The sequence below is a fragment of the Homo sapiens genome, chromosome 2 (genome assembly GCF_000001405.40).
Source record: "Homo sapiens chromosome 2, GRCh38.p14 Primary Assembly".
Taxonomy (NCBI): Eukaryota; Metazoa; Chordata; class Mammalia; order Primates; family Hominidae; genus Homo; species Homo sapiens.
In genome coordinates this window covers 168,126,525-168,143,358 of record NC_000002.12, presented here as the reverse complement: position 1 = coordinate 168,143,358, position 16,834 = coordinate 168,126,525, and the positions used below count along the sequence as shown (strand labels likewise).

Sequence of the window (16,834 nt, the reverse complement as noted above, 5' to 3'; positions counted from 1 at the left end):
AGAAGGGAGATGGGAACTTAGGAGGCTGCTGCAGAAATCTTAGCAAGAAGTAGTGGTGGATTAAATGAAGGCAGTGGCTGTGGAGGAGCAAAGAAGTGGATGGATTCAGAAGGTCTTAGACCCTTTTTGTTATTAGGATGACAGCATTATTTGTTGTTGTTGTTGTTTTTCTTAAAGCAGCATTTACCCATATCCTCCAGTTATTCCTGGAGGCAGGGAGATGGACTGGCTAACTTTATGTGTAGCCTTTGATTCTGTGTTTCTAGAGAAATGTCTGTGGTTTTGTACCCAAGTGAATCTGGCTGCATTCCCTTTGGCTGTATAGATGTACCCCTTAGGAAACAAGGACAGCTTTTCACTGTTACAGTTCTGCCACCTTGTTCTAACTGTCATATGCAAGCTATCTCAATATAATATACCAATTTTTTGTGTATATAACATAAGCACACTATGTACTTTGCTCAAAATGTTCTGTTACTGAGTACATATAATCTGTATACACATCAGCCGTACATAGGAGCAAATTGTATATTTCTTCTGTAGTCATAGAGGGAGTAGATATTAGGATTGTTGTTTTCTGCTCCTGAAATTTTTGTTCTGAGTTTTAAAGACATTTAGCCATCTGTTTATGACTTTAAAGTGAGTGTTCAAAGTGGAGGCTCTGAATGTATGTATCATTACAGATATATTGAAAGGGTATTGTCAATAATAAATGGCTACTATACATCTTTTTCGGCTGTTTTCTAACTTTTTAAAATGTGTAATGTAAGCAGGTAGTATTTTTAAGGAAGTGGAAATATATCTAATGTTAACTATGGATTTTTACCTGGATTATGTCTTTTAGGAAGAGACTTTAGGGTGCAGAGTTGCTTCAATTGCATTTAAAATAATCAATTTTTCCTTAAAGCAGCTTTTACCTGTATCCTTAATTTATAGATGATATGTATTTATTTCATATTATATTATAAAATCATTTTAATAAAAATGAAATGTTGGATTCATCGTTGAACTTCTTTTTAGAAATATAAATTAAGTTGAAATTAGTAGCTTTCAAAGTTTTATCATATATATTTTTTCCAGCAGATATAGTAGATGCTTACAAATATTTTAATTCACCTAACTCTTCTCTAAGAGAATGAATTGTATCTTCTCCCACCCACAGGAGACTGACTGGTTCCAGAGATTTCTTTTCACAAGACTTCAGTTTTCTGGCTGCAGTATAAGAATTAAAAGGGCTTTAGAGTTGGAAACATATATGCATATTAAGTTATTTAGCAGTTTAAACATATATACTTTTATTCAATATGAACATGAGAGTAGCAGTTGGAACAAAGACTCCATTTGTCAATTTTCATTCCTTTTATTTGTAGTTGAAATCCTGTTGGGAGTATGAGTAAATTTAAATATAAATAAAATGCAACATTCAATGTATTTCTACTCAGGAAACCAGTTACAATGTTATTAAGTTACAATTGCATAAACTAACCTTATAGGCCTACAGCAAATGCTAATACATTTTGACCTTGGTTTGTACTTGAGGGTGTTTTTTGGTAATTGCTGTCACCCTGACAGCCAACAAGGGGGACTCGCAAAGGAAAAGCGTATGAGAGCGATTTGCAGGGGCTCAGACTGCACATTGCGCTGTGGTGTTTTGATGTGTTGCCTACCTGTTTTTATTACTACCCACCAGCTCGCTATCAAGTAGTCCTTGACCTGGCTATCATTGATAGGTACACTAGTCTTGAGTAATTGGTACTTTAACTTATCAACTACTTTTAACCACTGTGTAAAAATGAAAGCAAGAATAGTACGTTAATAATTGCCAGGCATTCCCTTCTGTACTGTACATACAAATAGAATTTTTACACATGTGCCTGTATGTATATATAGGTTGAGTATCCCTAAATCAGAATATGTGAAATCTCAAATGTTCCAAATTCTGAAACTTTTTGAATGTGAGGTGACATTCAAAGGAAATGTTCACGGGTACATTTCAGATTTCTGGTTTTCGAATGAGGGGTACTTAACTAGTTTAGTATATAATGCAAGTATTTTAAAATGAGAAAAAATCCAAAATCTAAAACATTTCTGGTCGCAAGCATTTCCGGATGCTCAATCTGTACAGTATGCCTAATTAATTCATCTTCTTATAAAATTAACTTCTATATATAATGAGTTAAAGTTAAGAAAAATATTATTTACTTGTACAATCCATTGCCTCTGTACTTATGAAAATTGTCCAGAAAATCAGTCTTTGCTGACTAAGCTTTTTTGCATATGGACATACTCGGGCATGTTGGCTTTATATATCTTATCTTTATATACCTCAGCTAAAAGCTAACACCCTTTATATTTAATTTGGTATGCTAAGCTTTTGGACCGGCAGGCTTGTGGCCCATTACCAGCGATGGTATTCTCCAAGGTGTAGGGGATAGCAGAGGGCAGGTCTTCCTTTTTTTTCCTGAGAGAGCACCGTAGACATGTTTGGAATAGTTCATCACCACTGTAAAGCTCACAAAGAAGAGACATGCTCAAAAAATCACAATTTATAAGCAATAATGTCTTACATAAAATAAAGGTGATTTTTTTTTCCCTTTCAGATTTTGGGGTAAGTGCGTTCCTAGCAACAGGGGGTGATGTTACCCGAAATAAAGTAAGAAAAACATTCGTTGGCACCCCATGTTGGATGGCTCCTGAAGTCATGGAACAGGTAAAAAAACAAAAAAAGTGACTTTTTGATGGACATAGTACAATCGTACAGATCATTAATATGCTAACATTTCATTTGTATCTAGCATTTTAGTAGAATGCATAATGTAACTAAGATTTAATTCTCAATTGCTAGCTAATTAGCAAACTAACGTGAAAGTTATACATCAACAGCTGTGGATTTCTGACATGACATGGACTTGATGATGTGTAACATGCCTGCTGTATGATTGTGTTTTTTTCCTGCTTTCTTTCTTAGGTGAGAGGCTATGACTTCAAGGCTGACATGTGGAGTTTTGGAATAACTGCCATTGAATTAGCAACAGGAGCAGCGCCTTATCACAAATATCCTCCCATGAAAGTAATTACAATTGGAAATACTACATCGGGGTTGAAATGTGATTGGACGGAATCTGTTTTCTAATTCTCTTCAACATCTTCATTCTTCTCTTAGACCCGAGGAGAATTAATGGAGGAACGCAGCCAAGTTGAACATTGTCTGATTTTCTCAGTGGACAGAATAGGACAAAAGTAGCATAATTCCCAGCTTTGAAGCTTGCTTTATAGTCTCAGCACAGAGTTAAGAAAATAATGTTATCAGATTGGTTGATGGAGGTTGATAGCTATGACAAATGCTGGTCATTACTCTTTTGATAGCAGAACAACGCCAGGTTCCCAGAGAATATCTCAAAATAGATTATAGTGATGTCATCTCTGCAAATGGGTTTCCCAGATTTTCAGAGCTTTTTTTTTTCTTTCTTTTTAAGTGGACTACAACATTTTTACCCCTGCTCTTATAGTGTAATGTTGGCAACTGATCTGATATAAGTGAGCCACAGTGTTTTTAGGATGCTATTTTCACGTTTCTGCTCTTCTTTTAACTGGTTTATACCTCATTATTTCTCTTAGTTCTGAGATAGTGGTATCAGGGCTTATTTACCCAACTGGATTTTGTTTTGAGGCTGAAATAGTTTAGTGAAATTATAATGCTATTTTACATAGAGTATGGTCTATGATTGTTTCATGGTTACTGGAAAAATTTGGGAGGATTTATTTTAAAAACCCAAGAATAAAAAGTGAGTTTTACTGATTAAAAGAAGTAGTATACTCATATTGTAGAAAGTTTGGATGTGCAACTCAGACTAAAGAAGAAAAACAATCATCCGTAATCTCATCAACCAGACAATCTCTACTAAGGTTTCAGTGTAATTCATTTTATTGTTTTTATATATATATATATAAATTTTTTTTAACATAGTTAGGATTTTAGTGTATTTGTGTGTGTGTGGGTACATATACCGGATTTTGCTAGCAGAAAATTTAAAATTGAAGCGTAAACAATTGAAGTGACCTCTTGGAGAAAAAGCACTGAAGTAATGCTGAAGGATTTTTTCTTTTATTCAGTTTTTCTTTCTTCATTTTCTTTCTTTTGCCTCTTCTCAGTGTTTCCCACCTGAATTCAAAGTCGCACTTGCTTGTCCCAGCCTGACGTCCTCTAGGACTTTTCTTCAGAGTTCCCAGTCTCCCGCTTTCTCCTGTGGGCTATTATCCTCCACAAACAATAAGCCGTCACTTTCACGCTTCATCTATTCACACATCTGAAAGTGTTTGAAAAGAGGCTTGACATGTATAGCATTTGCATAAATTAAGGCTGAATTATGCATTAATGAGTTTTATTGATTGTACAGGCTAGTAGTTTTCTACACTTTCCACTTTTTTTTTAAAGCAAATACTTTTGAAGTTAGTATGAAAGAGTGGAATTTTTACCGTTTTGATTTAAAGTTGTATTTTATTTTGTTTTGTCCCCCTCCGAAAGCAGCAAGGACTTTGGATTTGATGACAGTTTTTAGCAACTCAGTTATATTCTGGCTATCCTTCAGTGTCCTGCTCTCTCAGCTTTGCCAAGCCTTTTAGCAATTTTCTGTATGTTTTCTCATTTTTTTAAAGGAAATCATGTTACCTCCTGGGATGTTGTGGTTTTATTTTTAGGGCTAGTAATGTGTTACAGAAGCCTTGAGTACAGGCAGTTCCTTACTTATGAATGACCTGTATACATGAACAGTCACTGCCTCGCTGGCCCTCTCTCTTCTCCTCCACCCGCTTTCCCAACTAGCCTGTGCTGGAGCTACGTGCTCCTCAAGGCAGTACACGAGCCAGTTCCCAGAAAGCTCTGTCCGGGATCATTCTTAACACATAGAGCAAGTTTTGTAAGTTCTGTCAATGGAATAACAAAAAGGTTAAAGGGGGCATGAACACATTTGCAGTGGTAATGAATACTTTAAATACACAATTTCTGCAAAGTTAAAATCATGGGAAAGCACTTTGTATCTAATCAAGGATGGTTTTTTACACTTTTATGAAAAATTCAAAACTAGATTGTAGCAATTGCTATACTGAGATTCTGTCTTCATGTTTGTTTCTGCTGCAGGTGTTAATGTTGACTTTGCAAAATGATCCACCCACTTTGGAAACAGGGGTAGAGGATAAAGAAATGATGAAAAAGTACGGCAAGTCCTTTAGAAAATTACTTTCACTGTGTCTTCAGAAAGATCCTTCCAAAAGGTAAGTGAAACTTAGTGGATGAGTTAATGACCTGGTTTGAGCCATGACAAAGCTTTGTTTGTAGATGGGGAAAGGCTTTGTGAGGACACTGGAAAGGTATTTCTTGTCTGGGAAACCCTGCTGTGGTCCCCAGATTTCCAACCTGTTAGTGAAAGACGGTGTGGGTCCAAGAGGGAAAGAAGTGGGTGAAGAACGAAGGAGAGGCAGAGGAAAAATTGTGGTGTTAACAAGATTCACTGTGCTTGTTAAGTGTGGGCTCTGTCATCAAAGGAAATGAAGTAAAACAGAAATCAAAAGAAATTGGCAGTGCTGCATTCAGAAGCTGAGCTAATATTCTTCACTGTGTAGGTTGAACTGACCTCTCAGGATTTGAATATCCTGCTAGCTCCAGTCTAAACTAGGCAGAGCTATTGAATTTTGCATGAGCTTCCTGTTAGTTGCAGAACAAGTTGTTGGTGCTGTTTAAAAGATTATCAGTAAAGAAGATTAAGGAGATTTTTTACCTTAAAAAGATTAATCATGTAAACAGAAGCAAATGGCTTTAAATTAACATTAGTGTTTCCTATTTATTCTTGGGTTATTGCCCTGCACTGTAGTGTGTCTGTTTTCTGAGTTCCTTTTCTTCCTTCTTAATTTCTGTGACTTTGAAATATCCTGGTTAGTGATCATGGAGCCCACTGTTCTTTGTCACCTAGAGGAGATTGTTAATTATGTGAATGGCCTTGCCTGGGTAAGGTCCCTTTGTGGGTTCTTGGTTGTATGTGGTGTTATCCTAGCATAGACCAGGAGAGGCCTCTGAGAAGTTCCTATCTATCCTAATCCACCTGAGGATCCAATTTGATCCTTATATTTTAAAACATAATAACTGACTTCTCTTCTGAAACTTTCTTTTTCAGGGAAGGACTCTGCTGTTAGAAATGATTCCTTTATTTTGATCTTAAATTTTTATGAAACTTGTTAAGCCTTTACACAGTAACTTACAGTTTGAGTAGGCAAGCCTTCTCTAGTTTAAACACAGTTTCCATAATTGTACCCATTCTTTGTAGCTGCTCACTTCATTCCTTTACATTTGCTGAATTTGCCTTGAATCTTTTCCATATCAATCACTTTTCTCATGGAGCCAGGAATGAAGACTGCTATTAGCCATCTTGAATTATTTATTGTAAAAGGGATGATTATTTTGTCATACCTGTGTACTATTTCTATGTAAACATCTCATTTGTTATTTATATTTGATTCATAGGGCTTGTTTTCCTTCCAAAATTTTTTAATCTTTCATTGAGATTATTTCTTCAACCTCCATTTGGGTGAAATGCTCTTAGATTCTAATTTTGTTTTCCAACATTTGCTTATCTTCCCCTTGAATTTGGTGTCATCTCCAGTAAAATTTTTTGACATCTTCAAGAAAACAGAATTTGATCCTTCATAGCCCAGCAAGAGAAGTTCTTGTCTTTCCAGTTAGTACTAGGTTATTATAGATGGTCTTCCTGATTCTTGAACGACAGTAATTGAGATTCCACCTAGTGGTTGTGATTTGTAATGTCACACAATTCCAGTTTTTTAAGAAAATTGTTCTGTAGGGTAGAATCGTTAGTGTACTTAATGATATAATAGTGTATTTCTTTAGGAGATTTGTATGTGATTTGGTCAAAACAAATTAGATTGACATACATTATATTTAACAAACCCTTTTTATTTCTTTTCTTTTTTTTTTTTTTTTGAGACGGAGTCTTGCTCTGTCACTGGGCTAGAGTGCAGTGGCGCGATCTTGGCTCACTGCAACCTCTACCTCCCGGGTTCAAGTGATTCTCCTGCCTCACTCTCCCGAGTAGTTGGGACTACAGGCGTGTGTCACCACGCCAGGCTAATTTTTTTTGTATTTTAGTAGAGACGGGGTTTCACTCTGTTGGCCAAGATGATCTCGATCTCCTGACCTCGTGATTCGCCCGCCTTGGCCTCCCAAAGTGCTGGGATTACAGGCATGAGCTACCGCACCCGGTCCATTTTTATTTCTTAATAATCTTGAAAGTCTTTCCGGATTTTATTCATTATATGAGCTTAAATATCAGGTTCCTTCTATTCCACCAAAAAAAAAAAAAATCCTTTAGAAGAGCGTCATATAACATATATTCAAAATCTTCAAATCTTTCCTTCAGAGACCACTCTCTTAAAAACACTGTTGATGTACAAAGTATTAATCTTTTAAGGTCTTCTTTTAGATATTTTCTCCGTAACTTAATTTGTTCTCACTATTGTGCAATTGTTCTCTATACCAAGCAGCTATAGACTGTTAGTGGCACATCACCTTCCCAGGTAGCTCTTTCTTATAATGAAAAGACACGTAGGTTGAGTTTGCGGGGGGAAAAATCTATGCAATGTAAGAATGGAAAAAAGCAACATTGTTGAATTACTTTTTAGATAGGATGCAATTTCAACATATGAATTCATGACTAATTTGATAAGTAAACATTGAATTTCCTGCACAATAATAAAAGAAACCAGGAATATTTTCTGCCTTTGCTTTTGTCATTGGAGAGTTCTTGCCCTTCCTCTGTCCCCTTTCTATCCCTCTTTTTGTGCTTGGTTCAGATGCCACATCCTCCTAGAGTTACATACCTGTGGGTGGGATTCCTAGCTCTACTTTATCAACATCTGCATGGCTTAGCTTTCTTGTCTGTACAGTGGGCCTTAAAATACCCACTTCATAGGATCGCTGTGAGGATGGGAAGAGAGAATGTGCTGTGGGCACTTCAAACTCATAGCACAGTGCCCAGGGAGTCTCTAAGTACTCACAAGATTAAGATTGCCATTCGTTATTTGCCTTTTTTTTTTTTCTGACCAAGTGGAGTTGTTGAAACTTTTATGCAATAACTACAGTATGTTGAAAATATGTCTTTTGTAGCACTTATTACACTGTGTACTCTTATTGATTTACACACCCCAATTCCTCAAAAGTTTATAAGTGTTTTTGGGAGAACCTGTGCCACTTATCCTTATATCCAGTGTCTGGTTTGTATTATATACTCAGTACCATTTCTTGAACAACTGGAGATTGGGAGCTTGCAATTTGGGGGTGATTTGGACCCGTTGAAGAATGTTTCATAAACAGAAATCAGATTTGAGTAGGTTGAAGAGTGAATGCAAAATTTTTGCCAATTTTTATTATTTCTCTTGCCTAAATGTAGATCATCTACCTGTAACCTGAAAGTTTACTGGTGCCAAAGCCCTGGTATTGCTGAGTACCTCATGAGCAATGAGTGAAAAAATATTGCGAGAAAACAGTGACCAGGACAGATTCACTCATATGCATCAACTCTCAGGCCGCTGAGAGTAGGCTGTGTTTTTTTGTCAACGATGAGAGCTCATGGGACTTTCCTCATAAAAGGGAGCTGGGGTGTTGCAGACCTTTGGTTCGTCTGAGTCTGTGTTCTGCATTGACGTAGACAGAGAGTTGCTTATATTTGCATACCAGAACATCTTGCTATTCCTTAAAAATAAAAGAGCCTTAATCTTGTAGACTACATGCTTTGTATGGCTAGCAACTGTAAAAAGAACCAACTTTTTTTTTTTTTTTTGCAACAAGGGGGATGATGTTGCATTGATAAATCCTTAAGAAAGGAATATGACTTGAATATTTCTTTTGTGGGGAGTGGTGTGGGGAGGAAAGCAGCTCTGCTTGAGGTCAAAGGGCTGTTGGAACTTATTAATGCAAATTGTTAGAACTATTTAAACTATATCATATTCATCTTGAATCTTTTGAAAATTATTTTAAGTCTCAGTGGACTTTGGTTCATCCATATGCATTAGCTGAATCCTTTAAGAGATTTTCTTCTGAGAATGTTGTTACTTGCAGACTGCTGCATTGTTTTTAAGGATTTAAAATTGAATCATTGTTCAAAGCCTGGACCATTATTTTGGTTGCTGGTAACATTTTAGCATTTCTCATAAAACTGTTTGTACTTACATTATGCTGAATTGTTTGATGTTTGCTAGTGGCCATGTAAGACGTGACTGTGCTTGCAGAATTTTCTTCTGTAGTACTCAGCTAAAAGGTAGGCTGTACTGGTGGTTCCACATTAGCCAGGCATTGGCAGTTGCTATGGCATAAAATAAAAATAGATAAATGAGAAAATAAAAACCAAAAAAACCCTAAAATCAAATGGGCAGCAGGACCTCAGCTTTTCTCACACTTCCTATCACTGTCTTCCCTCTGTCATTTTCTTTTTTTTTTAGACAGAGTCTCGCTTTGTCACCCAGGCTGGAGTGGAATGGCATGATCTCGGCTCACTGCAACCTCCGCCTCCTGGGTTCAAGTGATTCTCCTGCCTCAGCCTCCTGAGTAGCTGGGATTACAGGTGCCCGCCATCACGCCTGGCTAATTTTTGTATTTTTAACAGAGATGGGGTTTCACCATGTTGGCCAGGCTGTTCTTGAACTCCTGACCTCAAGTGATCTGGCCTCCCAAAGTGCTGGGATTACAGGTGTGAGCCACCGCTCCTGGCCCCTCTGTCATTTTCTTAATTTCTTCCAGTTCCATTCTTTCATTCTTTCTCATGGAGATAGTTTGGCATATGTAGGATTTTATCCCAAAGTGATAAACACTTCAGCTGATTTGAGCAAAGAGAAACCTCTAATCTGCTATTTAGTTATTCTCTGTGTAAAGTTGGAATTACCTATTACTTAACAATTAAGCCAATAAAAAAAGAAGGCGGGTTGTTTAAACCAATTCTATTTTGTTACCTTATTGTGTTTTTGTACTTACTGATGAAGGCTGAGAGTGGAGTGGAGTGCAGAGAAAGGAGTTTTCTTTGCAGCATGCTTTTCCCTTTTACATTTTTGGTTACCATGGCAATGACCTTGCTGGAGAAGGCAAAGTATTTTCCCAGCCCCGTATCTCAAGGTATCCCTGGTACTTCCCAGCTTTCTCTCTACAGCATCCTACACTTGACCCTTCCTGTGTGGGGAGGAGGATTTTTGGTGGGGGGATGGTGCAGAGGAGACAGGGAGGCACTTTGCCTCCTTACGTTGGCACTTCCTCTGTCCTCTTTTTTTGCTAGCACGAGTCTCATTTTCATTAAGTCTTTCTCCTGTTCCCCGCTGTATTGAACAGATGCATAGATTTTGGTGCTAACTGAATCTAGCTCCAGGAGTTGTAGTGCTGTGTCCAAATGTGTAGCAGCATCACTTTCCCCCATATTTGATTATAGTATGAAATTGAGCTGTAGCAGTTTCTGTTCTGTGCTAGGTATTGGAAACATACAAAGGAATTCTATGAGGTCCCTGCCTTGGAAGGGCTCATATCCTAGTGGAGTGAGGCAGGGAGACATAGGAACAGAAAAATACATGATGGGAATGTGGGTAGCATGGTGCATGAGTGCCACTAGGGAGCAATGCCTTCTACTTGCAGGAGCTAGGAGAGGTATCTTTGAAGATGACATTTAAATTGGCTCTTGACTGATGAGCGAGGGTGTGCCAGTTGGTTATGAAAAATTTGGAAGCAAGAAAAGCAGTGTGTGCTTTGTCACGAAAGATCAAGAGATGAGTGAGAACATCGTTGCAGTTGAAGGGTGGCATCTCCGGCGGGTGTGGGGAGATGAGGATGGAGGAGTCAGGGCCTAGAATACTTGCTTCTGTCTCAGGCCACTGAAATGCATCAGGATAGATAAAAGAGGATCAGATTTTTTTTTTAAGACGCTAATTTGCGAAGCAGTGGGGTTGGTGGATGATGGGTTGGAAATAGCAAGGGAGAAGTAGTGAGACACTAGCTGAGGGGCTGTTTTATTTAACTATATTAGCCAGAGATGATGAGGGCTTCAAACAGAACCAGGGCCTTGAGTTTTTTCATCATTCTGATTTTCTTAGGGTTCTTTTCACATTAAAAAAATTAAAATCCAAGTTATTTTCTATGCTTCTTAGTTTTTAAAATGTTGTTTCATGTTGTGAGGTTCCCAAACATGACATTTTGGTCCATTTCTGAGTCCAATGTAAAGTGTTTCTACTACATGTTCCCTCAGGAGCCCTTCTCCTTCCAAGGTGTTTGAATGTGCTGCTGCCCCTCTTGCCGTTGAGCAGCACACTGCTCTTACCTGCTAGATTGTGACTTGTTGGAGGATTATTTATGTCTGCCATCTTCATTATAGTATGCCTAGCACCTAGCATAATGCCTGACAAACAGTGGGTGCTTAGTTAATATTTACTGAGAGAGTGAAAGGATGAATTTGGAATAGCTAGAGGCAAAAACATCTGCTGGTGATCAGGAAGAGTATACATTAAAATAACAACTAAAGTTGAATCATTTGAAAGAGTTATACTGTAGTGTTTAGTTCTAGGGCCTATTTAACAAGGTGCAGATTCATGGCCTACCTGTTGTTTAGACCCTTAGTTACTCAAAGCAATTAGCAGGTAGATACGGAGATCCAGGGTTCTTTGTCATGTACCTACCCATAACCAGTGTTCCACTTGAAATCTGAGGAAAAAAGCAGTAATGATTTACACAGAAAATTTCTTTGCACAGAAATAGTTTCTGGGGCCCCTGTAGACTTACACAGTTTGTGTACTGATGCACGTAATGACATTTTCTAATTCTTTCTATGCTTGGGTTTGATCCCTGGGAATATTTTAGTGGAGCTTCCTGATTCCAAAGCAGCAGTTTCCAATTTTGTCAAGCATGAGGATTCCTTTTCAACTTGCCCCGCCCCACCCCCTGCTACAATATTATTTGTGCGTTTGGTAATTGTTGCCTAAGATAATACCTAATGATATTCAATAATGCATCCCTCCTCCTTTCTCTCCCAATATCTTATTATGAAACATTTAAAACATATGGAAAAGATGAAAAAGTAGTGCATTGTTTACTTCTATACCATCACCCAGATTAAACAAGTATTCACATTTTCTATAATTGTGATATCTATGTTTTATTTGCTGAACTCTGAAAGTAAAAGACTTAATACTTTAGCTTGCATTTCTTATAAACAAGGACATGTTCCTACACAACTACAGTAATTTTCCACACCTAAGAAAATGAAGAGCACGTTCCTAAAATTATCTAATATTTAGCAGATTCACACATCTCTAATGATTCCCAAATGTCCTTTATAGCCTCTGTGGCTTCTTTCTCAAGCCCAGGATCCAGTCCAGGGCTGTGTGTTACATTTGGTTTTAATGTTTTGTAAAGTCTGTTGAGTCTAGAACAGTTCCTTCAGTCCCCCTGAAAGAGATCAGGCCAGTTGTCTTGCTGAGCAACCCTATACTCCCGTTATTTGATTCTTTCTCATGGCTGCCTTTTTGGAAGGAACTATTGATGAAGGAAGCTATTCTTTGTGTAAGAATGTCAGTCAGTAAACAAGGAAGATAGAAGTAGGAACTCAGTATTCTGCTACTTCCTATGAAATAACTATTGAAGGCAAAGATATGAACACAATTAGCAGAAAGGTTTTCAGGAACAGGATATTCATAAAATGTCAAAGTATTACCCAACAGAACACTTGCTAATTGCAGTGGGGGAAAACATGACCTTTGCAAGGGAGAGATTTGGTGCCTGGGGACTGATGGTTAAATTTAGCATCACTAACAGTGGAATGACCTAACAGGACCTGCCTCTGAGGTGCTGCTGTAAGAAGTGTGTGCCATCATCTATGAAGTATTCTTGCCCCAAATGCTTAATTAAATCTCTTTGAAGCCTTCAGACCTCACTTAGAGTTTACAGGAAATATGGGCTAGAGAAGCAAGTTGAATGACACCATGAGGAAATAATCACACCATCTGGTAATGCTTCTAAATGAATTTGCATTTTATTAATCACGATCGCATTTACCTTCACCTGGCAAACAGCAGTCCATATGCACTTGAGACAGGTTTATTGAGCAGGCAAACAGAGCGTGGACACGATGTGTGGACCCCTTGCAGTACCTGCTGCTCTTGGGGAAGCATAGAGCATAGTAGAGTATACTTTCTTTGACAGGGTCATATGGTAGCTTGTATGGTTTCTTAATAAATATAGAAATTTAGCTCACAGATGTGTCAGTCTGCCCCCTTTTAGAAACACTAAATTCACTTAGTTAAGTGTAAGGATGAAGGATGGAAAATTGATTACGCCCCAAGCACTTAATGTACAGGAGTTTATGTGTTTTGCAGTAGAGGTATTTGGAAAGAACTGGAAAATTGGCACTATTTTATTTGGTGCCAGCCTATGATTAATTTGGTTCCCAGTTTTGCTATTACTAAAATTGGTCTTCCAGAAATACTCTTAAGGTTAAGTTGTTTCATCAAGGCAGTGCATTTATTAAGTGGTCATTGTTTCAACTCTAATTTATTATTGATCTTTCAGGCCCACAGCAGCAGAACTTTTAAAATGCAAATTCTTCCAGAAAGCCAAGGTAACATGCTTAAAAACCCAAGTAAATCTGCTATTTTTGAAATCACTGTGTATTTATGTGTATCATATTTGATGTTAAACTGTTGGGAATATTTGTTTTGCAGAACAGAGAGTACCTGATTGAGAAGCTGCTTACAAGAACACCAGACATAGCCCAAAGAGCCAAAAAGGTAAGTGCCATTAGCCTTCATGACCCTGTAGGAACCAATCCCCAGGGAAATGAAACCCATAGAAAAATTGGAAAAAGATTTCCACATATGCAGGATATACTATTCAGACGCTATATCTCATTAGTGATTACTCAGATAACTGCATTTGCCTTTTCGTTATCTCAGCTGGTTGTTATACATTTGGGTGTGGAAACAATTTGAATCTCAAATGATTTCATTTTTCCCTTTATCAGCTTTGCTTAAAGAAGGTCAGAAAGGAGGGGATGTGATGAGGTTTAAATACTGGAGAGGTAAAATATCCTTGAACGTCTTTCCTTTGGGTTTTACAGAAGAGGCATGCTCACTTTTTAGATAAAGTTTGTAACGATGAAGATAAAAAACACAACTTTTAATGGTTTGAATAGCTGTGAGATAGCATTCTTTCCTCATGAAAGACCTATGGTCCCTTTTTTAGTTTACCTTATGTTAACTGAATTATGGTAATGATTAGCTGAACAATCTTCCATTTTAGGTTTTAGATTTCTAAAATGGCATGTATGTATGTATTTATTTATTTATGTATTTTTCCAGAGACTTATTTATTTGTAATTACAGATTTCATTGTGGTATGAAACCTAATACAATTTAACCTCTGGTTTGGTTTAGTTTGGTTTTTAAATTATATTAGATATTTATAATTAAAAATATGTATATAGTCACATATTTTAAAAAGGAGGTTCTTCACCCCCATTTACAGTTACAGAGAAAGCTGACATGAATCTGTGTTGTCTGTGCTGTAAATAAAAATGGCAAAGAAATGTGCTTTAGGGATTGTATCTCATCTTGCCAAGGTATACATAGCTGAATATTAAATTCCAGATACTGCCTTTTCTAAAATATTCTGTAGAAAATGCATTAGCTGATGCTTTAGAATTGTTTTAAACAGATTTTCAAGTGGACTTTAAGAAATGTCCCATTCTGTGAAGGTATCTGAGCTTCTCTCCTGGACCAGAAGAATTATGTGGGGTGGGCTGGTTTCTGCGCTGTGGCTGGGGAGGATTGATGTGTTGACTTTGGAGATATGAGCCCAGTTGGTCTCTGAGGGGACAGGGAGCGCTGAGCAGACAGTCCATCAGAGTGGAATATCTGAAGGGGAAGCACAGAAAAGCTAAATCTTCAGTTTGAGGGCACCAGAGTTTGAGGACTCCTATCAGAAGACTGAAAGAGATGCCTGGAGAGATTCCCAGGAGTGTTGGAGTCTGGCGTGGGGTCTTTTGATCAAGTATTTAAAATGTCAGCCAGAGTTGAGAAAGCTGTTCAAAAGCCATTAGCTTATATAGTACATGTCCTCAAAGGACTTTTTCTTTTTCTTATTTTTGGGCCCACACTTCTTTTGCTGGAAGTGTCATCTGATCCCATCCTGTTAGCTGGTCCCTGAGAGGTGTTTTCTAGGCTGCTTTCTCTCTGCAGCTTTGGCCTCACACTCCAGCTCCTTGTTAAGTGGCCTGCCAGCCTCGCTATCACAGTGACTCCACAGGGCCCACCTTCCCTCCCAAGCCTAACCTTCCTGTGCTCTGTATTTCTTTCCGAGCCCCCCAGCCTCAGAACCCTGGGACTATATGTGAGCCCTCCTTCCCTACCTTGTCTTCCCCATCTAACCACTCTCCACATCTTCCCTATGATTCCTTCTGCAATTTTGGTTGAAACCTTTTTCTCCACTATTTTTAACTGGACAATTGCAATAAATTTCTAACTGTTCTCCCTCCATTCCCCGTTTCTATTCTTTCTTAGGCATTTCTAACAAGATTTAACTTTCTGGTCTTAGTTGCTCAAAAGTGGTTTCCAAAATTAAACAAAAACAACCAGAAGAGCAAATAAATGAAAAAATAGAAATTTAAAAAATGGTTCCTGTCTAATAAAGACCAAGATCCTTAGCCTCGAATTTATGGCACTATTTCAACTTCCAGTCTTATATTCTAACCTCCAGCCAAACTGAACCATCTGTGCTTCCCACTGTGTAACCCATACTTTCCTTTGGAGCTTTTTGAAATTTGAAAAAATGAAGAATCTGTTCAGGCTGTAACCTTCATTTCTTTGAAGAAAAAAATTACTTGGCCGGGTGTGGTGGCTCACACCTGTAATCCTAGTACTTTGGGAGGCCGAGGCAGGTGAATCACAAGGTCGGGAGATCGAGACCATCCCGGCCAATGTGGTGAAACCCCATCTCTACTAAAAACACAAAAATTAGCTGGGCGTGGTGGTAGGCACCTGTAGTCCCAGCTACTCGGGAGGCTGAGGCAGGAGAATCACTTGAACCAGGGAATCAGAGGTTGCAGTGAGCCGAGATTGTGCCACTGCACTCCAGCCTAGCGGCAGAGCAAGACCCCGTCTCAAAACAACAACAACAACAAACAACAACAAAAAACTTATTACATATTAGTGTGCTGTGCATTCCAAACCCCAGTTTGCATCTATCTTAAACAATAAGCAACTAGAGTTTCGTGAGATGTGATTTTTCAACCATGTCTTCTGCCATTTACTTGCTCTTTGCTTTTAGATGAACCTCAGGTCTTGTTCCATCATCCATCCCTTCAAATGCAAGGTGGCCGCACAGCTCAGTGTCACATAGGAGTGAAGGGAGAATGCAAATTAGTTCTTTAAGCATCCTAGAGAAAAGAGAGTGGCCTGTTTTGCTGTTATCCTGGCTCTCTAGTTTCATAATATTGGCTGTTTTCCGATCATAATTCTAATTTTAATGAGCAATTGGGTTATCAGCTATACTCCACCCCTCACCTGTAGGTTCTTTGACATACTCTGCCCGGGACAGCATCGATCATGGCTCATTTCTCATTCATAGTAAGTGCCCACAAATGTTTACTGACCAAATGATCACATGCCAAGGAAAAGCCCTTTGAAACTGTTTTCCACTCATTTGAACCCCCACAATGCTTGGCATACACGTGTTCCTAGGATTCCTGTTAATAGTGGGTAGTCTCCCCGCAAGCCCCGCTCTGGCTTGTGATTCTGATAAACAACC

General features: G+C 38.2%; 1 protein-coding gene across 8 annotated transcripts in view; it reads left to right on the top strand.

Moving 5' to 3' along the window:
• STK39 (serine/threonine kinase 39) overlaps positions 1-16,834 on the top strand; it is a 293,574-nt gene that overhangs the window by 104,237 nt on the left and 172,503 nt on the right. For all 8 annotated transcript variants that reach the window (NM_001410961.1, NM_013233.3, XM_047443944.1 and 5 more), the window contains 5 exons: positions 2,601-2,710; positions 2,969-3,070; positions 5,138-5,271; positions 13,601-13,649; positions 13,753-13,818. In NM_001410961.1, the coding sequence (NP_001397890.1) occupies positions 2,601-2,710; positions 2,969-3,070; positions 5,138-5,271; positions 13,601-13,649; positions 13,753-13,818 (461 nt within the window). The remainder of the gene's footprint in view (positions 1-2,600; positions 2,711-2,968; positions 3,071-5,137; positions 5,272-13,600; positions 13,650-13,752; positions 13,819-16,834) is intronic.